This window comes from Homo sapiens, chromosome 5 (genome assembly GCF_000001405.40).
Source record: "Homo sapiens chromosome 5, GRCh38.p14 Primary Assembly".
Lineage (NCBI taxonomy): Eukaryota > Metazoa > Chordata > Mammalia > Primates > Hominidae > Homo > Homo sapiens.
In genome coordinates, this window is record NC_000005.10 from 86,869,669 (window position 1) to 86,896,817 (window position 27,149).

General features: G+C 38.1%; 1 pseudogene, besides 2 other annotated features; it reads right to left on the reverse strand.

The window, feature by feature from the left end:
• Positions 8,317-8,486: an enhancer, noted in NCBI's record as "experimental_86917 CRE fragment used in MPRA reporter constructs". NCBI's record gives its function as "activates a minimal promoter by MPRAs in K562 erythroleukemia cells, with activity observed for both the introgressed and non-introgressed 5:86173887 variant alleles {active_cell/tissue: K562}" and the evidence as "EXISTENCE:reporter gene assay evidence [ECO:0000049][PMID:34662402]".
• Positions 8,479-9,013: an enhancer, noted in NCBI's record as "OCT4-NANOG hESC enhancer chr5:86173964-86174498 (GRCh37/hg19 assembly coordinates)". NCBI's record gives its function as "activates a minimal SCP1, AML or CMV promoter by ChIP-STARR-seq in naive H9 embryonic stem cells {active_cell/tissue: H9 hESC(naive)}" and the evidence as "EXISTENCE:reporter gene assay evidence [ECO:0000049][PMID:30033119]".
• On the reverse strand, positions 14,542-15,247 carry RPL10AP9 (ribosomal protein L10a pseudogene 9; annotated as a pseudogene).

Below are 27,149 nucleotides of genomic sequence, written 5' to 3' on the forward strand. Positions count from 1 at the left end.
CTATTATGTCGATGTTTGGCCATTCAGAGTCTTACCGAGTCTGAGCAGAGCTTGAGTATTATTGGGCCTCTGTATTATTATTAACTGCATTCTTCAACGAAGCTCTGTATTTCTAATATTACTTTAATTTCTCTTTTGCATTGTCTTCATTCTCACTGTCCCTAACTTGGACCTTGTTCCTCACTATCTTATTTCTATAGTTGCCTCCTAACTAGTGTCCATGCTTCCACTTCATTTACCTTGTGCACCAGTTCTGGTTAATTTTCCAAATGCCTTTTTGCAGTCTCCTTTTTCTGCTCAACATTACTGCTATGGCAGTTGGCTTCCTACAGCATGGATCCAAATTCCTTAGCTGATTAATCAAGGCTCTTTTATATCTGAAAACACATTATTGCTCTATTTAGCCACCACCATCTCCTCCAGACACAATTCTCCCCTACAAGCATGCAACATTATTTCTGTCTTTTTACTTTTCTTCTATTCTCTCCAGTTAAGTATTCTTTCTGATTTCTCAAATAACTCAAAATAGAACTACCATTTGACCCAGCAATCCCATTACTGGGTATATACCCAAAGGAAAATAGATCATTATACCAAAAAGACACATGCACTCATATGTTTGCTGCAACACTATTCACAATAGTAAAGCCATGGAATCAATCTAGGTGCCCTTTAACAGTGGATTGGATTAAGAAGTGGCACATATACATCATGGAATACTACACAGCCATAAAGAAAGAATGAAATCGTGTCCTTCATAGCAACATGAATGCAGCTGGAGGCCATAATCTTAAGCAAATTAACATAGAAACAGAAAACCAAATATCACATGTTCTCACTTATAAGTAGGAGCTAAATCTTGAGTATACATGGACATAAAGATGGGAACAATAGACACTGGGGAATCCAAAAGGAAGGAGTGCATATGGAGGGCAAGGACTGAAAGACTTCCTATTTGGCATTATGTTCACTATCTGTGACAAGATCAATAGAAGCCCAAACCTCAGCAGCACACAATATACTCCTGTAACCTGTATATGTACTCCCTGAATCTAAATTTAAAATTTAAAAATACATAATTTTATTTCTGAATACCAACCCAAACATTACCCTTCCTTAAAACCAAATTAAGCCTTTCTTCCATTTTAAAAATAAACTTTCCTAGTTTCTACTTTTTTTCCTGTCCAATACATATTTCTAGTAAATTGTAAATGCAAAAACTTGAGGGGATCTCAAAATTATTTGGCTGTATAAATGGAATAGCTGTATAAATTGAGCCCTCCCACATTGACTTTACCGGTCTTCTGTGTTCAGTCTTGCACTTTATCTTACACCCTAATGTTTGCAGGCCTTACCCCCTACCTGTCATGTCTTTGTTGTCCTTCTCAATACCCAGTGGAACTGATTTCAAACTGAATCGAGTTGCTGTTTTAGAATTCACTTAGATAGGCTCATCATTTTAAGAAATCTGATGCGACATTATTTGAGGACTTAAGCACTCATTTCCTAGATTCCTTTCTTTTCCAAATATGGAACCTCCTTTGTCTTATTTTATTTTTTGACTGAATGCGACAGGTGAAAATTGAGAATATATCCATGATCTCTGGCAGGGTTCCCATGGGATAAGCAATTTCCATAGAGAGAAGGAAAAGGCATAGGTTACCACTCAGTTCTCTGCTTTTGAACATGAATCTGGTGCCTATGAGTCTTTAGAATTTGATGCTCAGCCACTGTGAAGCTTCACAGCATGGCAGCACCTTACTTTCCCATCTGAGATAGTTTACATGCGACAGAAACAGCTTTCAAGAATTCCTTGTTGCCTAGAGGGTTAAGAAGGAAATGTAGCTCTTTGAGCATCACTGATAAAAGTGAAATCAAAAAATAAATAAGCAAAATAATGGAAGGCTTTTTATAGAAGCTCCCCTGTATAACAGAGTATCCATATGCTTTTTTCTTAATTTCTCGACTCTTAATGACTCATTAAAACCGTTCTATTTTTTTAAATATTAGAACAAAACCATTTGAACACCATTCTAATACATTACCTGTAATTGTTGCTGAGGCAATAAAGAAAATAACCTCTCCAAGTCCCAGATGTCATATTAGGAAGAAATTTATTTATTACCAATGTATTTATGTTCCCTCTTAAAGTGTTTTTTAATCAAAATTTATGTGTATAGGAGATATTTCAAACCAAGTCATTTATCTTTTTTTGGTGTAAATAGTCATAGCCAACCACAACAGTAAATGTCACTTCCTAGAGCAACAGCTTGCACATGCTCAATACAAATGTTATAAATTAGTACATAAAGTTTTAGAGTGTTTAATAAAAGCTTAATAGTTTTCTGACATACTTTTTCCCAATTTCTTGGTGCTGTTCATTTCCAGAGCATTTGTACACATGTGAAAAAGAAGTCCTTTAAACACTGCCTACTTTTTACATCCACTGCTCATAACTTGTCTGAACTATTAAGGATGAAAAAAAATCCCATAAATCAAGATGACATGAAGGGAAAAAATCAACTTAATGCCATGAGAAAATAATGTGTCCTTCCCACCAAAATAACCTAAACAAACAGCTGAAGAAATTGTTCTAAAGGATTAAAATATTAGTCAAACGTTTCTTTCTTTGAGATAATTTTGCTTAAAACAATTTTCACATAAAGTTAGGTGGCTAGTGAAAAGATTGCTCAAAGGTGTGGTTTTTTATTTTGTGGTTAAGATTTATAGACCTTAAGCCTTGAAGCCATTGAGCATTCATGCTGAACTCAGTTGGAATAGCCTGGGAGGTGGCAGGTCACAGGTTAAAGTAAAAAGTAGGTAAGCTTTCCCTTACCTGGTCTTCTCTCTACCATAAAGCACATGGTTTGGAAGCAGTCTCACCACTCAAATAAGGTTAAAAACCACCTGAGTAGATCAAACCAGGGAAATGATCCCCTCTTAATATATCCAATTCAGCTTAGAATTGGAGGCACTATGGTTCAGCAACCCGAAAGTACTGATGAAGCAGAGAAAATGGGATCATACTTCTACAACAATCTGCTTCCAGAGTGGAGCTTGTAGCCTAACCTAAGGGGAAAATAGTGAGTACTGTGTCTCATAGGGTAGGGGAAAAGGGAGCTAGAAGGACAAATTTATCACAGCTCGTCTTGTGGATTTAACATTCTTTTACTCCAAAATTGAAAAATACTCAAAACCCACAAGAAAATACCAATTGGTAGGTAAAAGAGTCACTTAAAAACTACAATAATGGTCTCTAAAATATATGCCAAAATAGTTGCTGTTGCTTGGGGGTGGGGAGTGCTTAGAGCTTTATGCTTGTCATATTCATCTGCTAGGATGGCCATAACAAAATATCACAAACTGGATGACTTAATATAAATTTATTTTCTCACAGTTATAAAGTCCAAGATCAATGTGTCAACAAGTTTAATTTCTTCCAGGACCTCTCTTCTTGGCTTGCAGATGGATGACCATCTTTCCCTTTGTCTTCACATGGTCTTTCCTTTTTATATTGTCTGTGTGCTAGCTCCTTAAAAGGACACCAATCGTGTTGGATTCAGGCCCACCCACATGACCTCATTTTATCTTAATTCTTTAAAGGGCCTATCTTCAAGTATTCATATTTTGAGGTACTGGGGGTTAGGACCTCAACATATGAGTTTGGAGGAAGGAGGGAGACACAATTCAGCCAGTAATAGTGATGTACAAAAATTGAAGTAGACTCGTGTTAAATGAAAATTATAGAAGGCCATTTTTCTGGACTAAGTTTCTGCACTAAGCCCCAACAGATCGGATTAAAAATTAAAATGAAGTCAACCATTCATGTCACCAAACCCAAACTAGATTTTTTCAGACCTTCCTAGAAATCAGGAGAAAGAGATAACAGCCAGTTTCCCAAACAGACCCATTTAAATATTCGATCAGCTTGATAATAAAAGTCCTTCCGTTTTAATCCTTACAATGAGCGACCTGAAGTAACCTGATGTTAACCAATCAGTTATCACTATTGTTCTATCTACCTGTCCCCAACTTACCAAGAAAATAGCTTTGAAAAAACAAATACAGTCTTTGTCATTTGGTTCTGCTCTCTTCAGCCTTTCTATGCCTATAAAGCCAACCCTTTCTATTTTAGGGAATGAAGTATTGCTCAATTCTAGAATCACAAGAAAGCCAATTGAGATCTATAAAATTGTAGTTTTGTCCTTTGATACTTGACATAGCTCATATAGACAATTTGAATCAAACTTATTTTTGCTTACTGATTCACAATAACCTAGGTAAATGTGGCAGTTGAGAGCTTGTTATCCTATAGCATCCCACACACTCTGTTTGCTTCTCTGTATGCCAGTAAATTCTTTCTAGCCCTCTCTATACTTATTGCATCCGTATTTGTACTCAACAAGAGTACAAGCTTCTAGGTACTAAAGTTATGTAAATAGCCTTAGGTAAGCGAAGACCCTGATTTGTAAGCATGTGGAATGCAACCCATGAGTAGACCACAAAATCAATTTAGTGGATGGTGCCATTGTTTCAATAAAAGAGATTTAAAATATTATAGTGTGTGAAATAGTAACGTGAGTAGAGAAGTGATATCAGCAACTATAAAGGAGTAAGGATCTCCAAAAATTCTCTCCTCCAGGGAAGCAATGAGAACAGCGGCAAAATTGTCAGGACCAACTTTTTCAGAACTATGGAAATTAAAGGCTTGCAGCAAACCAAGAAACTGGCTGAATTTCAGTCAAAACAGTAAACTTTGCAGCATTTTAACTTACCCTATTCTCACCGCTCTATCCCACCCCTGTGGTAGACTTGAAAACCAAAAGCCAACTCAGTGAATTCAGCAGACTGGCAGCTACTGGAGGGGGCCCAACAAGTTTCACAGGGGAGTTCTCTCAAACCACATTCCCAGATAATTATTATTATTTAACCTGTCTGGAGTTTCCTAGAAGAATTCATTCACAAGTCTGGCTTTATTTGATGTGATTGGAGATTGCCTAGTGAAAACAGCCTGTTTTTCTGGGGTCACTTGTTAAAAACAATCAGAGGCAATTTTTGAACATTACAGATGCCTGAGGCAGTAGATAATGATTGGGTCAAACAATAGGCTCACAAAAAAGCTTAAAAGGAAATTCTGGGGAATGTGTTATGATAGGAAGCTTTGGAAAGTTCTGATAATCTCTGGGACTCTGCTGTACATGTGCCTGGGGGTATGTACATGCTCAGGAAAGGCTTGAGATGGCCCTAAACTCTCACATCTGACTGACCTTGAGTCTGCATGAGCAGAAGGTCACATGCCTGAACACACATATTGTCCTACAAAAATCACTAAATTGTATACTTTAAGATGGTAAGTTTTATGGTATGTGAATTATATCTCAATTTAAAAAACTATTAGTTGTTTATCTGAAATTCAAAATAAAAAATAAGAGTAGGTAGCTCTATCATAATGTTGATTGAAAGAATTCAGATACTTCATTCACATGCAATTCAAAAACAGGCAACACTAATCTATGTTGATAAACCTTCAAGTAGTGTTTACCTCTTTGGGAGTAGGGTGGGTGTTTACTGTAAGGGGACATGAGAAAGCCTTTTTGGGGGCCTCAATATGTACTATATCTTGATTGAGGCTGTGGTAACATGATAGGTATTATATATACCCATGTATAAATTCATTAAGCTGCACACAGGATTTGCTTTGCTATATGAATTTGCTTTGCTATATGAATTATATCTCAAAAATTTTTTTTAAATATAAGTATAAACATTATTTTATCAAAATTTTGCTGTAGTTGAATATATGTGTATATGTATAACTAGGTCATGATGTAAAATATGTTTATTTCTGTGGGCATGATCAAAGTGTCTGAAAATCCTAAACTAGAATGTTAGAATTCTATGTAGAAACTTGCATACTTTGAGATATGAACAAATTGTACTTATCAGTCACATTTCTTGGAATACAATTTTTTAAAACTACAAGTTGTTTAAAGTATTGCTCTAATAAATAACCACACAATGAGTCAAAATCTTTGGCCAGGTGCAAGTGGCTCATGCCGGTAGTTTCAGCACTTTGGGAGGCTAAGGCAGGAGGGTTGCTTGAGCCCAGTAGTTTCAGATCACCCTGGGCAACATGATGAAATCCTCTCTATACCAAAAATGAAAAAGTTAGCCAGGCATGGTGGCATGTACCTGTGGTCCAAGCTACTCAGGAGGCTAAGGTCGGAGAATCACTTGACTCTGGGAGGTCAAGGCTGCAGTAAGGCCATGTTTGTGCCCCAGCACTCCAGCCTGGGTGACACAGCAAGACCCTGTCTCAAAAAATAAAAAAAGTATTCTAGCCTTATCATTATCAACTGAAGAATGATGAGATTCATAAATTTGGAAACGAGAGCTTTGTTTCTCATAAAGAGTTGCAGCCTGGTCTGCAGGGTGGCCATTCTGACAGGCTGAAAAGCATAGCCTCCAGTCAGAAGCCAGACACAGACACTTTGAGGGAGGGGCAAAAGGAAAAGGAATTTACATTGAGCAAGGTGGCACATATATAGATTTAATAAGCTGTACGAGGAGTTGTGAATATTTATGGAAGAAGAAATGCGCGCATGTGCAATTGATTTTCATACCCCTTCATGGGTCTCTTGTGCAAAAAATGCCAGCATCAGCATGATCCAAAGGTGGAGTTTTTGGCTTGGTGACATCAAATGCTGAAACAGAGGACACGAAAAACCCTTACTGCACATTCTCCATAGACTGTCCAGAACTACTCCCTGATTGGTATGAAGCCAAAAAAAAAAAAAAAAAAAAAAAAAAAAGAAGGGGCAGTGGCAGGTGGTTGGTTGATACAAGTGGTGGAGTATTTTGAAAGGACTGGTTTTTGTTTATCCCTTATGGAAGAAAGTCTAATGGCAGTTAGCAAGGAAGGAGGTATAATGGGGCATGTCTGATCTGTCATCCCAAGACATGGTCGAAAGCTCAGTTTTCAAGGTTACTGTGGAGTCCCCTTGGCCAAGAGGGCATCTTTTCAGTCTGTTGGGGGTCTTGGGGTTTTATTTTTATTTCTTGTCACCAACCATCAGAATCCCAGCTTTAAACACCGTTCTTTATAAACGTTTCACTTCCAAAGCCAAAAGTGACCTCTTTACTTTCTAAATCTTACATTATTTCATTGGTTTCTTTGATACAGGAGCTAGAAAGAAATTATTTAGGCAGATAGTGAGGGTAAGAGAGTCCTCCATAAGTTTTCCTTTTAATAAAAAGCAACCCCAAAATGATTTCTTTTCTAACAGAAAGCAGCCTGAGAAGTCAAGCTGTAAGCATAGATAAGCAAGCTAAAAGCTTTCATAGGTAAATGCTGGCAGCTGAGCCAATAGAAAATTGGCTACCTGGGGACCAGGCATGTTCAACATAGTGGCTCCATCTTCTCTTTTCTTTGTCAACCACATGTACAGTAAGGAAAAAACATAATGGCACCAGCCAGGTGGAGAACCCACAGTAAGGAACAAACAACATGGCACCAGCTAGGTAGAACCCATCTGCATAATAGAAGATTAGGGTGGGATGGCCAGTTTCTTTGTGCACTACGCAAACATCATACCTGGTCTGATCAATCTTTTGGGTCCTGTGTAAATCAGACACTGCCTCCTCAAGCTGTCTATAAAACCCCATGCATTTCACCACAAAAACGGAAGACCTACTCAGGCGCTCCTCTCTCTCTGCAGGAGAGAAAGCTATTCTGTTTTTCTTTTGCCTATTAAACATCCGCTCTTAAACTTACTTCTTGTGTCTGCGTCCCCGATTTCCCTGGTGTGGGACAATGAACCTCGGGTATTTACCCCAGACAACAATGCTGCTTCATCTTTATTATAGTATATTTACCTCTGACATTAACCTGGCATGGTATTCTTGTATTATTTCCTTTCCTGATAATACAATCCTGGGAAATCCTGGGAAATCCTAGGATCACATGATTATATTATTCCTTTCCTCATTTCCCATAAAGCTTTATGTTGTAGTTTGCAAATAATAGATATGGCATAAAAGAAAGAAATCAATAAAGGTAAGTGACCCTAAACTATGTAAATTTAGAAGTTTAAAATTTATATAAGAATATAAAAATCTAATACTTAAGTACAAATAAAAACTCATCAAACAATAGGTGAGTAAAACTGTGTGTGTATGTCTGTATATATGTATAGATGCATGTATGTATGTATATAATTTATTGGGTGTACCTGGAAGTTTAAATCTATCATTCATTAGCAAGTCAAAATGATTACTGGATTCTGAGCTCAAAAGTCCCCTTTTCTGTTCTGTACCTCACCTATAGGTTGCCAAACCAAGTTCATAGTTCACTAATGTCAGGGAGAGTTGAGGAAAATCAATAAGAAAACAAAGATCTTAACCTAGAATCAGAACGAAGGATTTTGACTCTTCACTAGAACAAACAAGCTTTTATCATCACTTGGCTTGGACATACCCAAGAAATTGCAAAGATAGAGATGAACCATGCTCCTGAATCAAATAACTTTTGGCTTAATATTTTTTTAAAATAATGAAAACAAAATTTGTCTCTTTCTAATTGAACCTCACCCTTTATGTGATGTTTTGTGATGAAGGCAATAAATCACAGAATCCAAATAGGAATCAAATATGTATTTCTTCAGGGTTGTGCCTTTCATGGACAGCTCATGGGTCAGCAGTTTAAACTGCATGTCATCTCTCTTGTTGGTAACTGTTGCTATTCTTTGCTGATTGACTGTAATTGATTGGCCAGTGGGTGGTAAACAGCAGGACAGTGAGACTGCACAGCTTAAACAGCAATGAGGAAGCACTTCAGACATTTTTCAAGACCTTAAGTGGTCTAGTGTTTATTTTCTTTCAAAGGCACATATGTAATTGTGCAATCTTAGCTGTAAGAAGATAAATTCTTTTTGAAAAGCAGAATTCTTATGAAAATATATGCTTAGTCAAAATCCCAGGTATTACTAAATACTCATTCTCTTATGATCATCTCTCCATGTCTTAATTTAAGCATCTTCAATTGTGAATCTACTTCTTGGCAGAATTCTTCTTCACAAATTTTGAGTAGATAATAACAGAAGAGCTTTCCCGAACTTCAACATCTCACTTTCACATTCATAAAATTTGTAATTTAAGAGCTGACCTTCATAGGAGATTCTCTTTAATGTACATAGCACCCAATCATTGGCTTAAAAAAAAAGTAGGATGACAAAATAAAAGCAGTTTTCACTGATTTTACTTCTTATTGAGAGTAAGGTTTAGACACATGTCTACTTTAAGTCTACTTTTGGTATGGTACTGCGAAGGCTTCAGCCACCTATATTTCAGACCTGTGATCTAAGAATAGAAATTTGTAATTTATTATCAGTAACTGTGATGTCTGGGATTTGATTTTTACCCCCCTTACATGCTAATAAATTAATTTGTTACTGTTTCATAGATTCTGGTAGAAGACACAAGACTCCTGGCTCAAAAACAAATAATTTTAGTATTCACAGCACAGCAAGTTGATGAGCATCAGCATGATATGTTGGTTTTGCTCTACTTCCTATGGGGGGTAATGCAGAGAGCCAGATGGAGAGTGCACACATAGCAGATTTGCTTGCAGTTAGAGGAAAAAAAGCAGCAGCATGCCCAGGAGTAGTCAGGAGGAGTCCTGAATTTTCAAAATAGGTCTAGATAATTCTTACTGTCTTTTTCCAAAACATTACCCTGAACACAGCCAAAAAGAGATGAACATTTTCTAAGGACAGCAGCATTCAGTGACCAAACTGCCTTACTAAGATGTGTCAAGTAGGAGGATGTGATGAGGGGGAGTCAGAAATATCTTTGAACTGATTTTTGAAGAAGTCTTTCTAGTGCTCAACAATACCAGATGCCTGTAGATGGTGTAGAATGTGGAATGTCCATCAGATAAATGGCCCTTAATAATTAGCCCATTTTGAGGCCAGGCGTGGTGGCTCATCCCTGTAATTCCAGCATGTTGGGAGGCCGAGAGGGGCAGATCATAAGGTCAGGAGTTTGAGACGAGCCTGGCCAATATGGTGAAACTCTCTCTTTACTAAAAATATAAATATTAGCCGGGCATGGTGGCAGGTGCCTGTTGTCCCAGCTACTCGGGAGGTGAGGCAGGACAATCTCTTAAACCCAGGAAGTGGAGGTTGCAGTGTGCTGAGATTGTGCCACTACACTCCAGCCTGGGCAACAGAGTGAGACTCCGTCTTAAAAAAAAAATAAATAGCCCATTTTAGACTAACCTTTTGTACTAAGGGCATACTATTTTTCAACTCCAGGTGGGCTGGAAAGCAGAAAACGTGACACAGTTTAATTTCAAAGCCTACAGCAATGTTGCCAGAGATGAGACAGTAACATGAAAACCTTAAAAAGTTTTAACAGTGGTAAGACACCAACAGTAGCTCCAAGAGAGAGTCAAGGGTCAATGCATGCAATTTTTCAGGAGTAAACAGGGCCAGCGCATCATGTGGCTTTTTTCTTTTTTTCTGCAAAACAAATGAGTTAACTTTCACAGAAATCAAAAGTCTAATATACATTGGTAGCTTCTGCATCAGAAACATAGAATTCTTTACTATGTGCCCAGTCCATGATGGTGGCTGTGTTGTCATGTCTGCTGTCATGATGACCTGGGTGGCACAGGGTTTATCAGCTACTTGGCTCTAAAGAGGAGTGTCTTTAATCTCCCTGTCTGAGATCTTCGAAGTGACAGACCAGATGGCTCTGACACTAATAACGACCCAGGAGTCAACAGAAATGTAGCAAAGCTGAACAAAGGGGGATTGACCAAGGCTATGAGGACTGCCCTAAGTTTGCTTACCAAGAGGATTGACTGTGTCTGCTTTTGGTTTCACATAGCTGACCTTGACGCTGAACAGTGAGTGGCAGCAGCTCAGTGGACACCATCAGGTGTCCAGCTAAAGCTGAATTATCAGTGCACCAGGCCCAATCATTTAGTGAAGCCTCTTTGAATCTAGGATCCCATTGTTCCAGCTACTTTAATTCCATTTTAATGTAAAACTGAGATGACACTCGGGCCAGGCTAGCTGCACTAATGAATATGCCATTTCCATTTAGTGAGGCCTGTGGGTTCCCACCTATCTTGTTAGTCATGAGTTCAAGTTAACCCACTCCTGTTTTGGGTGAGAGATACTAAGCAGAAAAGCCACACGGGGTCCCTGTGAGTAAGGCATTCCATTTCAAGAGCCTAGTGTTTGCACAGGCCAGTAGCTGCATTTCAAAAGGGATGTACTTGGTGCCTGTATCAGGCAGGTGGTGCTGTTTCACTGGGAAATAGCCTGAGTCTTCCCATAGTCTTTCAAGTCTATAATTGTGAGGATTGTTTTCTGCTAGAGCACCCTGCAGGAGACAGTAGGTGCAGCAGTCCCTGAGCAAGAGAGTGCCTTCTGGCACTTAGGGGATGGAGAAGTGCAGGCATCTACTACACCATTCCATTTTAAATTCAGATGTGGGAACACAAAAATCACTACATTGAATTAGCCCACTGGGCCCCACCCACAATGTCACTAACAAAGATAAGTCCCATCAAAACTCCCATGGGTTGAATTTGAGCACCATTTTCCCCTAAGGAAACATAGACCAAGAAGTTAACAAGTATGTGAGTTAGGGCTATAGCAACAACTGCCAGGAGACTACATTGTCTCCCAGCAAGGAATGCATGGCGTGCAGTGTGGCAGCAGAGAGTGTCTCACAGGAAACAGGGAAGATAAGGAGGCTTTTTCTTTGCCCTTGATCTCTCCAGAATTAGCGCCTAAGCACAGTTATGCTTCCTTCCCTGTGTACCTCCCAGCATCTGAGTGTCTGGGACTAGGGACCCCTTCTTGCACCTGCACAGCCCACTGTGGCTCCCACCTAACAGCCCTCATGTCCTTTGGTCACCCTGCACTTAGTGCTCTGTCTTCCTTGGCAGCCAAGTTGGGCTGCAGCAGGGATAAGATATGCTACAGCAGCTGGCTCTGCACCATTAGAAACAGTTTTGCACTTATTTTAGGTTTCCAGCAGCCACTCATTTGCAGCTCAGAAAAACAAATTTCCAATATTTTTAGCCCAACCAAAGGTCTGCGTCAAATAGCAAGGTCATCATTGCTGACACCATTTATTTCAACTTTTTGGATTCCTAGGCTCCACAACCACAGCCACATTGCCTTTCAGTTGGGGCCTCAGGGCTTATTGCTTCATTGTCATGGTAGCAATCTTTTGTCCTCTTCCCTGGAGGACAGTAAACAATAACCAATATACCTTTTGGGCAGCTTGTTTCAACCTTATCTCTCACTGCCTAGGCTCATTAACAGTTAGGACAAGGAAAGGCCCTTACTCTGCCTCCTCCATCCTTCCCTACATCTTGGAGTGAGTACATTCACTACCAGTCCCAGGAGTCCTCCTCTGAACCCAACTTTTAGGATTCTTATCCTTCCTCTGCCAGAAAGCCAATCTCTTTCAATATTCTATCCTTATCTCTAAAACTACTGGGTCTAGAATTTTATTTTACCCTCCTTACAAACTAATAAGTTAGTCTATTACTGTTTCAAGGATACTGGCAGGAGACACAAGATTAATGGGTCAGAGGCAAAAGAATTTATTACTCACAGTTCAGTAAGTAGCATGAGCATCCGCATGTTTGCTTTAGTTCCTCTTGCCCCCAGGGTTAGGGTGGTGAGGAAGAGGGTCCACATGAATGCTACATATATAAGCTGGGTTTGCATTGTAGCTGAGGAACACCTTGCATTTTAGAGCAAGCAGTAAGCAATCCTGCTCTTTGTCCTGAAGGGGAGAGCTTACTTCTCCCTCAAGGGTATCTAATAGAAACCCTGAGAAATGGTCCAGATAAAAAATAGTCAGGGTCTTGCACTTTGAATACATCCTGCAGGAAAAGACAGGGAGTCTCGTGGCCCATGACAACTGCCTCTCCCAACATTAACATGTTTGACCACCCATTACACACCATAAGATACTCTACTAAGTTCCTTTACTGCCTTATTTCATTTAATCAGCAGGCCAACTCTGTGAGTCAAGTACCATTATTATCATCCCCATTTTTTAGATGAGAAAACTGATGTTCAGAGAGTTTAATAGGCCAAAATCACATAACTGTAAAAGGAGAAACTAGTGTTCAAATCTAAGTCTCATACCAAGGCCCATTCTCTTAACCACTGTCTTACGTCTGTCCAGTTGTTGACTCAGGATTCTGCAAAGTTCTTCAGGGCATTTTAATATATGTACTTACCAGGGTTGGACATTTACACACTCAAAGACATATTAATATCTAGCCAGTTGAAGCACAAATGTTATGAGGGCAGACATATTTCCCCTACTTTATATAAGGTTGATAATGGTTGCCTTCTCTGTGTAGATGCAGGTAAAATGTCTACAAGATATCTTGGAGGGTCACCATTTGCCTCTGTTTACCACCAGCCTCTCATAGTTTATGCTTATTGTTCTAATGTATTCATAGTGCCCCTACAGAGAATCAAAACAATTATTCATCATAATTTTTATCGTGAGGATAGTTTTATTAAAAAATTATCGAAAAGATAGAGGAAAAGGAATTAATTGGGAAATCTTATATATCTGAGCAGCACTTCCCAACTTTATATATCAGAGCAGTCTTTTCAAAACCATTGTTTGAAAATGTATACGCTCTGCAAACACAGTAGTAATCTGATTAAACATTTTCTTGTTTATTTTTTATTGAGACAGAGTCTCACTATGTTCCCCAAGTTAGTCTCGAATTCCTGGGCTCAAGCCATCTTCCTGCCTTGGCCTCCCACAGTACTGGGATTGTAGGTGTGAGCCACCATGCCCGGCCTGATTAACATTTTCTGGTGCACATCAGTACTCTTCTAATTATTCCTGCCTTGTTTTCTGGTTTTCCCACAACTCAGTAACTCCCCATCTATATCCAACAGATAAACTCCAGCCAGTACATACAAACAATAAATATGCTAGAAATGAGTAAAAGGCCAGTTAACCTGCATATATAGTTCAGCCTACTGGAATAACATTTATTCAATAAAACATTTTAACTGAACACTAGTTATGTGCATGTCATTGAAAGTCCTGAATATGCAAAATAAACTTTAGATCAATTCCCACTGATACGTGCATTACCTAACAATATGCCCACATGTATCTAAAATAATATTATAGTGAAACATTCACAATAATTTAAAAACATGAATTATAATTATATAAGTAAATATGTAAATATATGAATATAAATATGTGTGGAATGAAAACATAAATGAATTTAATAGCAAGAAATTAAATTTTTCAAAATTTAATTTTTGGTAAAATTATTTTGATTCATAAAAGTTGAACAAGATTAATAATAATGACAGTAACAAAAACAGTAGACACTACTTCCAGGAGTTTACCACCTAATCAAGGAGAGAAAAAATTCTCAAGAAATGGTTGCATAATACTTTCCAACCAATATAATCTATGTGCAAATTCCCACTCTGCCTTTTCTTTCTTTCTTTTTTTTTTTTTACTGGTAATAGAGTTTATTCAAATATAGGCGCTGGGGCTTGCCCATGGTGCTCTTGATATATAAGGCCGGACATTCTGCCAGTATTTCTTGAGCAATGACAACAAGAAGCTGACAGCCAGGTGAATGTTATCCACAAGCTCATCGTCTGTCATCTTCACGTGACCAACAGCTACAGCCAGATATAACACCTTCTTCATTTGGAACTTGATTGTGAACTTCACCTCATCCACTTTGGCCACCATGTTTTCGTTGTGTGTGAGCAGGGAAGGGAACTTTCCTGCCTTATTTAGATCTGGGCCGAGGATTCGTGGAATCTGCTTGATCAGAGACTCTGAGGCCAAAAACGCATCATACTTCTTGGCCAGCTTCTTGACCAGTTTTTTATTCTTGTTGAGTTTTTTCAGCGCCTCAGTGTCCATGTGGGGGATATCCATGGCCTTGGCCTCGTCGCAGTGCTACTGGTCCGCCAGAACACACACAGAGAACTTGGGGCGGGGAGTGGACTTAAGCCTGATGGTGCCCGAGGAGCACTTGTCCTTCTGTGGGTCATACTTCTTCAAGCTGATCTGCACCTACACCGTCTCCTGGAATTTGTGGCGCTAGCGCTGGTTCCTGTGCAGGACTTTCCGCACTGCCTCCCACTGGGTGTCGCGAGAGACTTTGCTGCTCATGGCTTCTGCCGCCGCGCTAACCGGAAAAGAGTCTGCCTTTTCTTTAACATTTTATTTTGTATAAAGAAAACAATATGGAAAGGGCCCAGAGTGAGAAAGGAGATGGGAAGTAAAATTTTCATTCAGTCTGGACATCTGTAACAGAGAGATATAATCTCTAGGGTAGTTAAGGTACACACAAGCCTATGGGAAAAATGATGTGGTTTGAAAGGTGTTTAAATCCATTTACACTTTTAGCAGATTAGACCACCTGCTACACAGCAATATCCTGAGGGTATTGACTGAGGACAGCTAAGTTTTGATGAAAGAAGGGATAAAGACCAGAATTGAAGTTATTTAGATAGGATTTCAGATCTCTGAGTGAGAAAATTCAGGAGGAAGCCCTTAAGATTAAAGAGGTACCAGCATGAGGGCCTAGGGTTTCTCGGAAAAATTAGGAAGGAAGAATGGAGAGGGAATAAAAGTAGAAGTGGGGATTTCAATTTTAGTTTTCATGCCCAGAATATCACGATTTAGTCTTGAAAACAGCATCCGGCTCTCGTTCATTTTTGTACTGACGTAACATACCTTCTATTTGCTAGCTTTCAGGGATAATTATTCAGAATGCCAGCCTCTACTATTCTCATCAGGCTTGCTTGGAAAGATAGTCCTTCTGTGGATGAAATGTATGGTACCTAGGAGTGTACCTAGCCACCATAATTAAAGTGTAATAGGCAAGTAGATAAACAAATGGTTAGATCAATAACAGTAAGCCAGGCATTCCAAAGTATTTGGGTTTCTTTCATTTTGCTCTGGGGCAAGTCACCTGACCTCTTTGTCAGAGTTTTCTCATAGTTAAAAATAGGGCAAATCAATTGTTTCCTACTGTGTTTCCTGGGAGTATAAAATTTGGTTCATTTTAAAGAACTTTGTAGCAGTTCAATATTATAACACCGAACATATGGATTCTTCCTTAGATAAACTTCAAAATATTACATTATTTTTGTTAAAAAAAATAAAACTCCGCTATTCTCTCTTTGAACCATCTCTCTCACAATGTTATCATTGTACACATTCTGAAATTAACTGACGTATTTCCTGCTGCGGCACAGATAGCAGATAAAACGAGGTTCTGGGCTCCAAAAAGAGCAAAAGCCTACACACAAAAGACTTTTTCTCCCAGAGGTCAGAAAATTCAGCTTGAAGGGTTGGCAAACACCCAATGTATCATTCAGCATTACTTGTATATATTGTCTGAGTCCACTACAGCAAGCCAACTAAATGATGAGAACTACCCTCTGGAGATTAATTATGTTTCCTTTCTTATTCTGCATTGAAGTCTCTTGATAATGTACTCCCAGAACTTCAATTTCCAGGTTACATGCAATATTAAAAGTAGTGGATTCATAGTTTTGAATTGCTATTCTTTCTCATTTTCATTCCTCTTTTCAGAAAACACAAAGAATGACTAGCTAATTCAAACAACCGTATAATTTGCAGATGGAGATTCTGTAGTGCAACCATGGAAAACTTTTGCTCTCCTCATTGTTATGCTTCTTCTGTTAGGATCATCAAAAGCAGGTAAACTTATCAAAGAAAATGACAGATAATTAATCTCTCAGGACATAGAGAAGGGAGAACGATTTAAATAGTGTCTCTTCTCATTTCTAGTCATATAGGCTTTCATTTTTTAAACCCAACACTTTTAGACTTAAAATAATAGGAACTTTTCAGAGAAAAAAAGGCATTTTGTTAGTATATTTTTGTTTCAGTTTACAATCAGTGTTGAGACTTTAAATGTCTTTTATAAATTTCATAAGTACCTAACACAAGAGTAGGTATGTGACATGTATTTAGCACTTATTAAATAATTTAGATCCAGACTTAAGCTTCATACTAAAATGTTTTTCCTTAAATAATGATGCTTTATATAATTCTAAGAAAACTCAAAAATTTTCTGAAATCCTGCCCCCCAAGTTCAATATAGTTTTAAATGAGGTTCTTCTTCCCACATTGAGGAAATTCCCACAATCATCTAATAAATTCACTCTGATATATCCATTGTGTGATACACTCCTCTGTTGTTCCAACCTTTATTTCACTTGATATGAACACAGTTATCCCCAAATATACACTGTACTCCCTTGCTTGCCCTCTGTGGCAGGTTTTCAGAATTTTCCTCCAATTGCTCCTCAAAGAGCCTCCAGCTTCACCCATCAGAGCATACACACCCAGTTTCTCCTGTGCAGGGGCTGGTGGAGTCAGATGGCTCTACTTGTCTAGGACCACATATACTATGTTCATATTTGAATGGAAAAGGGAGAAAAAGCTAAAATACATTAAAGTGAATGGCAAAAAAAAAAAAATAGAAAAAGTAAAAAGTGATCAGTAAAAAGTAAAAAGTAAAAAGTGATCAACTTTCATATATAGATAATAAATAGAAATCTTTAGACGCCATGGTCTACCAATTCTTATTTGTCTTGCTGATTAAAGCAAAAACATTCATGTGGAGGCCAGGCACGGTGGCTCACGCCTATAATCCTAGAACTTCAGGAGGCCAAGGCCGGTGGATCACCTGAGGTCAGGATTTCGAGAGCAGCCTAAGCAACATGGTGAAACCCCATCTCTATTAAAAATACAAAAATTAGTCGGGCATTGTGGTGCAAGCCTGTAATTGGAGCTACTCGGAAGGCTGAGACATGAGAATCACTCAAACCCAGGAGACAGAAGTTGCAGTGAGCCAAAATTGCGTGACTGCACTCCAGCCGAGGCTATAGAGTGAGACTCTGTCTCAAAAAAAAAAAAAAAAAAAAAAAAAAAGAAAAAAAAACCATACATATAGGAACCAAAAATAAATGTTCTCCAGTAATAATGCTGTTCAATCAAGAATAAAGACTAGAAGGTAGTGGTTAGGGGGTCCCACTTCGGAGCCTGATATCTAGGCTCTAATCCTGTTCTGCTCCTTGTAAGGCCTTGGGCAGGTTACTTAACCCTCAAGGGCTTCGGTTTACTCATCTGTAAAGTGGGGAGCATTTGTCTAGATTTGTCTATCTCTTCATAGAGCTGTGGTGAGAATGAAAATTAATCATATGTGTAAAATATTTAAGTCGGTGTCTAGCATGCAATAGAGGACTCAGTTATGTTAGCCATTCAACTATTATCCTGACTGTCTTTAGACCTTTATGGTACAACTGTAATACTTTCATCAGACCAACCAACTTACCAGGTCCACAAAAAAAAGATCAGATAAGTAGATACAAAGAATTTCATTTCTTCATGAAAAAAACCTGAAGAGATTATTGAATTGACTCAAAGTCTCTTACTCTCTGCTCTGAATCTTGATTAACTTTGTTAGTAATTAAAATACACATTTATTCTCTTTTATTCTTTTTAAATTACCAAGCTCACCAATATTAGCTTTTGTGATAGAACATGCTGTGAAAATTACTACATCAGTCTATTCCACACTTGAAATCCATTGACCTGGAAATGAGAAAATAACCAAATCTAACATTTGATATAAATATTATCATAAAAACAGTGATATCGAGCCCACTACTTAAACAATGACTAAAATATTATTTCAGAAATGGAATTTTGCCTAGGAAAAAATTACATTTTAAAACAGTGAGACAGCATCATTCTCAGCAAACTATCGCAAGGACAAAAAACCAAACACTGCATGTTCTCACTCATAGGTGGGAATTGAACAGTGAGAACACATGGACACAGGAAGGGGAACATCACACACTGGGGCCTGTTGTGGGGTGGGGGGAGGGGGGAGGGATAGCATTAGGAGATATACCTAATGCTAAATGACAAGTTAATGGGTGCAGCACACCAACATGGCACATGTATACATATATAACAAACCTGCACGTTGTGCACATGTACCCTAAAACTTAAAGTATAATAATAAAAAAAAGAATGTTGAAGGAAGATAGAAGAAATATAGAACAAAAGTGAAGGTGGCTTATCAGAGAATTTGTGACCTGGATGTAGGAAGTTTGAGACTTTAGAGGGATGCTAAGGAGAATAACATGTGATCACTACACTAAAAAGCTTATAACTCTGCAGTCATATCGTGTACTTCTAATGTCAGGCACAATGCGAATTCCTCCTATGTATACCATCTAGAGTAAATACTGCAAATCAGTTTATTGAACCCCATGATGAACCCAGTTTGAAACTGCCTTCCTGTATAATAAATACTGGTAAGCTAAAAACTGCATTTTTAGATTCCTTACAGTTAGAAATTTGCAGGTGTTATAACTGGGAGTTTCTTCTGGCTTTATTGTTTTTGGCTAAGTAGAAACCAAAATCAGTTCCCTTGACTTCCTGGGACTTCTTTATTTTGCCTAATACTCTATAATAAATCTCTCCCCTTTCTGCTTAAACTAGCTTATTAGGGTTCTCCCGAGAAACAGAATTAAAAGGGTGTGTGTGTGTGTATGTGTGTGTGTGTGTGTGTGTGTGTATGTGTATGTTCACGCATGCTCGTGTTTGTGGCGAGAAAAAGAGATGGAATTGGCTCACATGATTGTGAAGACTGGCAAGTTCAAGATCTTCCGGGTAGGTTAGCAGACTGGAGACCCAGGGAAGGGTTGCAATTTGAGTTCAAAGACAGTATGCTGGCAGAATTTCTCCTTCCAGAGAGGTCAGTCTTTCTACTGAAGCCTTCAACTGTTTGGATGATACCCACTCCCATTATAGAAGGTAATCTTCTTTATTAAAAGTCTACTAATTAAATTTTAATCTGATCTAAAAAAATCTTCACAGAAACATTTAGATTAACATTTGACCAAATATCTGGGTACCATAGCCTAGTCAATTTGACACATTTTTTTAAAAAATCATAACTAGAGTGGTTTTGTTGTCCATATAAAGAGCTCTATCATATCATTTCACATAATCCTCACAATAAACTTGCAGGTTAAGGACCACAATCCTTATTTCATAGATAAGAAAACCAAATTCCAAAATATCTTGCACTGCACCATGAAACTAGTAAGTAGCTTAATATGATTTGGAGTCAGAACTCTAGATTCCAAGACGAGTGCTCTTTCAGTTACACTGCTACTGCCAATAACTTCATCTGGGAAGATAAAACTAACCACGTGAAGAAATAAAGGGTGAATACAACAGCAACTACTAACCCCAACTGTAGAAAGAATTTAGATATCTATCATGTTTATATAATTTGGGCCTAGGGTAGGGTTTTATGGATAAGGTGGGTTTTAAGATGGGTAAGATATATGCCAAGGAAAGAGAGAAAACACTCCAGATGAAAGAAACAGCAAGCAAAAGCAGAGGGTGGGTAAAGGCATAAAGATGTGAGGACGGAGAGAAGTCTGGGCTGACTTAGGAAGTGGTGAGGGAAGAAGTTTGATGCCTAGATTGGAACTTATTATGTCAGTCTTAAAATTGATAACCCAGGTAGACATTACAGTTTCTTGGGCAGAGAGGCATCTTGATGAATGCGGTGTTCAGCTATTACTCCTATTCTAGTAGCTGCCAGTCTTCATTTCTAGTTCTGGCACATCAACTCTATATTTCCACCTGTTCCCACAACATGCTTTATTATCACCTTATATCTCTCATTTCCAATGCCAACCATTTTTCTCCCAGACAGGTGCTCTTTCTTAACAATGGTATTGCTATTTCTTCCAGCCTTCCAAACTACATCTTTAATGCTTCCTTCTTTTTGTTCCCTAGATCTAATGTTCAACAGGGCCTCATTTCTTCATCTCAGTTGTCACTTGAGAACTGGTAAGGTTTAAGTGCATCTCAATGTGCCCAGATTACAATAATAATTCCCTAACTGACATCTCTGTTTCTAGCATAAAGGAGGATTGTAGAAAAAATATGCTTAAGCTCTCAACAGCGTGTGGCTGGTTCTCCAAATTCTAAAGGTTACTTACAGTTTACATAGTAAAAGGGTCACCTCAGCTCTAAAGATCTGGCATAATTCTTAAAGAGCAGTAAGTGCATTACATATATTCCCTAGCCCTTACTCCCAGGCAGAATTAATTATTCCCCTGAGACTCTAAACTTGCCTAAAGATAGGATGTATCACATTGTTTTATAGTTAATTATTTATATGACTGTCTGCCCCTGAGGTGTAAGATTTTTACTCCGGCACCACACCGCTTTTTCACCACTAAGCACTATTCTTTGTTCCTGTCATATTCTTACTTCTCTGCGTACCCAATTTAGAGCTCATTATTCATCATTATAATTACTGTGTTACAAAAAATTATTTCTTTAACATATCTCTTCTTCCATCTTACATTCTTGGCAAAGCCCCAGCTCTTAAACCTACCAATCTTCTTCCCTGTCAGCACCCAAACAACTAAACTTTGATGGAGAGTAGTTTTATAATCAGACTGACCAATCTCACTATAAATGCATGAACCAAATATAAAGTGGTCACAATACCTTACATTATCCTCTAATTAGCATCATTTTTATCCTCTTCATAGTGAAAGTCCTGCCTCCACTTTTTCACCTCACAGTCTCTCCTTTCTTCATCATACTCGTTAGTCTTCTCCTTCTACCACTCCACGGAGACTACTCTTGATAAGATAAACAACAGTCTCTATATTGCAAAATCCAGTGGATGCTACTCTGTTACTTAATCTTTCAAGAACATTTAAGACAACTGTTTGCTTGATTATTTTCCTACTCACTGGTCACTTTATCTCAATCTCTTTTGCCTCCTGCTTCTTAGCTCAACCTCTAAATTTTGGAGTGATTTGGGACTCCGTGCCAGGTAACTTTTTCCCCTATCTACACATTTTAAGTATTTCACCCAGTACCATGAGTTTAAATATCATCTGATTAACATGGTGGTCCATATCTATATCTCTAAACTAAACCTCGTCTTGAGACTCACTTATCTAACTGCCTCTTTAGATGTCTATTTGGATGCCTAGTAGCATCAGAAAGTTAACATTATCACAACAGAACGCTTCCTACCTCATCCACCCTCACAAATCTGCTTCTTTTTCCTCCCAATTTTCCCATCTTAGTACTAAATTTACTATCTAAATAAATGTTCAAGCCAAAACATCTTGAGAAACTGTTCTTGGTTCATCTTTATTTAAACAACATCCACCATTTAACCATTAAGAAGACCTATAGACCTTCCTGGAAACATATTTCAAATCTGTTCATTCCCTGCTTCCCCTATACACTCCATCTCTACACAACACCCAGTCAAATCTTTTAAAACTGTAAGCTAGCTATACTATTCCAGTGTGTGACCTTTCCCTTTCCATCAAACAGAAAAAAATGCAAAACTTTTCCCTGGCTTACCTTTACCATTGTCCCATAGAACTCTTTTCCTCAACCACCATGCTTTCTCCACACTTGCCTTCCTTCTCCTTCTCACACAAAGAAAACATATTTCTACCTTAGAATCATCACACAGCTGCACCCTTGGCTTGGAGTGCTCTTCCTTCTGATATTCATGTGACCAGATGTTTTTTGGGGGGCGGGGTGGGGCATGGGCAGAGATGAAGTTTTGCTCTTGTTGCCCAGGCTGGAGTGCAATGGCGTGATCTCAGCTCACTGCAACCTCCGCCTCCCAGGTTCAAGCAATTCTCCTGCCTCAGCCTCCTGAGTAGCTGTGATTACAGGTGCCTGCCACCACATCTGGCTAATTTTTGTATTTTTCACCATGGTGAGACAGGGTTTCACCATGTTGGCCAGGGTGGTCTCAAACTCCAGACCTCAGGTGATCCACCTGCCTTGGCCTGCCAAAGTGCTGGGATTACAGGTGTGAGCCACCATGCCCAGCCTGTGACCAGCTCTTAATGGCTATTCAGGTCTCATTTCCAATGTCGCTTCCTCAGAGAGACTTTCTCTGCTCATCAATCTGAAGGTACCAATAAATCACTTACTATGAGATTATCCTTTTATAATTATTTGGTTCATTTTAATATCTGATTTTTTCTTAATAATCCATGCATCCCTTTATTCTTTCTCTCATTTTTTATCTGCCACACTAGAATGTAAGTTTATAGGAGACATCTAAGCCTGTAGAATATGGGAGTATATTCCATATCTACCTTGTTCCCTGCTCTATCCCTAGTGCCCAGAAAAGTGATTGGCATATTCTAAGCATTTTATTAGAATAAATACATGATTGATAAGGTCTATGGTAACCATTACCACCCATGATAGAATTGAACTTCTTGGCTTCCTCGTAGTTAGGTTTATCCATATGACTAGTTTAGGCCAAAAAGTTGAGAGCAGAAGTGATCCATATCACTTCTGGGTCAGAACATTTAACACCAATGCAAGAATTTCCAGAGCTCCCTTTCTTTCTGTCATGTGACTATTTGGGTAATCCACCAGTCTGTCCTAGAATGAGGACAATAATGAAGTGGGAAAAGAACTACCAATCAACCCACAATAGACACATACCATGAGCAAGAAGTGTTTATTTGTTGTTTTAAATCACTGAGATCTTGAGCTTTTGTATTATACAGCATAATCTAAGCTGCCATGATTAGAACAAGAACTATTTTTGCATCTTAGTTAGATGACTAAATTTAATAACCCAGTATAAGTATACTATAAATATTTCAGTGCAAACTTTAAACATGAGTCTTTTACAGGACTCAATCCTTATCTGTACAGCAGATGAGCATCTGCTAACCTCTCAAAATTAGATTGACCATTGTGAGATCAAAATATGTATCTGAGACTGAAACTTGTGGACAAGTTAAATTACTAATGAACAGTAATTCTGTATTTTAATGTCACTCTACATACATAGTAAATCAAATCAAATGAAAGCTTAGAGAAGATAGAGAACTGAATTGCCATATTAGGAAATGTTTCATACGTGTATTTCCAACTTTACACTGTCATGTCATCATGAAATTAGTGTGAAAATCAAGTAACATTTTAAATAAACTCTGCCAGCTCATTGAAAGGATTCTAAATAAAATCCTTCATGCTATAAATGAAAAGCCAATTTTCAACAGAGACTTAACATCTATTGTCAAAATAAGGTATAGCTTTATATACTTCAGGCTTTATTCATATAAGGTATTCTATAGTTGGTGTGTTCATCCCCTTCAAAATTTATGTCAAACTTTAATTGCCATTGTAACAGTATTAAGATGTGGGACCTTTAAGAGGAGATTTGCCCATAAGGGAAGGCTATACTCTCTTGGGTGGGATTGGTGCCATTATAAGAGGGCAAGTTCAGCCCCCTTTTTTTCCCTCCCTCTCCCTGTCTCTAGCCTTCTGCCATGTGATGACACAGCAAGAAAGCCTTTGCCAGATTCTGGCCCCTTGATCTTGAGCTTTCCAGCTTCCACAACTGTGAGCCAATACATTTCTGTTCATTCTTAGTTACCCAATCTTAGATATTCTGTTATAGTGGCACAAAACAGACTAAGACAAGATCTAACTATGACTTATCATATAAGTATTTCATTCAGTATAAATACAAATTGTAAAACATATTAGTTCCAATTCTCAAATTCCTAGTATGATCAGATAAAAGTCATGGAAACATTAAATAAATTGAGCAGTTTTTCTCAAGGCAAAAGGTATCTGTGATGACTTAACATTGAGTGTTTAGCAGCATAAATATATTGAGATTGAATCAGGCAAAGATCACTCCAACTGTTGAACTATTGGGTAAGTGGAGGGGGGCATTTAAGGAAGGCATTGCTACTGGTGATGTTTATCTCAACCACATACCCAACTGCACTATATGTGTTAGCATTAACTTTTTAAACCATTCAGCATGGTTGCAAAATTTCAGCAGAAGTAGGACACTTGTTTGCTAGAATTTCATTTATTTTTCAAATTATTGAAGGCTGTCATCTGTATAAATTTACAGAGAATCTAGGACACTTGAAAACTTGAGTGAAGTTTAAAACATTTTTTAAATTTTTAAACAGTCAATTGTATTGGGACAGGGCAAACAAGATTAGGCTTGAGGCATGAGATTGCAGGTAAAGTTGGAGATGAGCAAAATAAGAAGGAAAGCATAGAGGGGAGGAAAGGGAAACAAAAATAAGAAAAAATGGCCCTTGAGGGGAAATTTATTACTTATTCTTCTGTATCATAATTTGATAACTCAGGAATGTTCAAATTCACTGTACCAGTATTTCCCAAACTTGAAAAGAAATGTACATGTCCTTTGATGAAGTTTTGAGGGTCAATTCTCAGCATGTCAGAAGTCTCCCTCCCTTATCTTTTTTCTCAAAATACTTTGTAATGACACATTCTGCAGTCCAGAAGTGCTGTGGAAATAACTGTTTGTGCTTATGAAAAGCTAGTATGAAGCTTTAAAAATAGGTTAATAGTCAAAACATAAATAAAGCGTAAATTCTCTTTTTAAATTTTCTAAAACAATGGCAGAGAAGGGATTTAACTAAAAATGTTTTAAGGGCTATGATAGTTAATATTAATACTAATGTAATTATTGATATGTATGCATACAATCTACCTGTCAAGAGAGAGGTCCCTGAGTATATTGAGACAAAGGGAGTGGATATCCCATAACAATGTAGAGATGATGGAGCTCAGAAAGATGCCCCTTTCAGTTCAGGTTCTGGCCATCATTGCACTTAATTTAACCACACATAAATAAGTGAAAATGAGGTTTGAGCAAGCCACTCCCAAGATGAGCCTTTCCATAGGCCTTGGTATTCCTTGAGAAATATCCTTACTCACTGAATCCCTATTACTACTCAGCCCATGAGCCCGGGAAGTTACAGAGAGTATTCGCATAAACTATGGAAAGCTCCATTCTTTATCAACCTTAACAAACTGAGTCAGAAGAGGATTTCCTTTCTTATTTTCCTTTAGTAAATAGAGATAGGAAAATTTAAAGCAACAGCAAGAAGAAAGCACCAACTATAGTCTGAATGTTTATGTTCCCCCAAATAAATATGTTCAAACCTAATATCCAAGATGATGATATCAGGAGGTGGGGCCTTTGGGAGACTATTAGATGATGAGGTTGGAGCCCTCATGACTAGGATTTGTCTGTTAGAAAAGAGACCCCAGAGAGCTCCCTTGCCATTTCTATCAAGTAAGGACACGATGAGAAGACACCATCTATGAATGAGAAAATTGGCTTTCATCAGACACTGAATCTTCTAGTGCCTTGATCTTGGACTTCCCAGCCTCCAGAACTATGAGATATAAATTTCTGTTGTTTATAAACTGGCTACTCAACCTATAGTACTTTTTTATAGCAGCCCAAATGCTTTAAGATAACACCTCTTACAAAAATCAAAGCTTTGTTTTTAGCTTGCCCTTATATAGGATTAAGGTATAATTGACACTTAGGGAAAAAGCTAATAGCCCTTAATTAGAGTTTTTAATTCAAATTCAAGACTAACGCCTTTTAAAAGAAGAAATGCTTGAAAAGCACTGCTTTAGCTCACTAATGACCACTCCAGTGACTTTGTCTGAAGAGCTAACGTTTCAATTCTGGTAATAGAAAAAGTAACATATACGTATAGTCAGCCTTCCATATCCACAGGTTCCACATCTGTGGATTCAACCAATCACAGATCAAAAATATTGGAAAAATAACAATACAACAATAAAAAATACACATTTTAAAATACAGTATGACAACTGTTTACATTGTATTAGGTATTGTAAGTAATCTGGATATGATTAAAGTATATGGGAGGATGTGTGTAGTTTATATCCAATACTATGCCAGTTTATATAAGGTATTTAAGCATTTTCAGATTCTAGTATCCACAGAGGCTCCTGAAACGAATTATCTGTGGATACTGAGGGAAGAATGTATATTCATGAGTAAAACTGATTTCCTATGATGACACAAAGTAGTTAAGTGAATAATATGAGGTCTCTCAATTGAAGCTCTAGATGAACTTCAGCACCAAACTTTGGTCCTCATTAGCATCACTGTCTGAATGAACTATTAATACTTCCTCACATCCAGG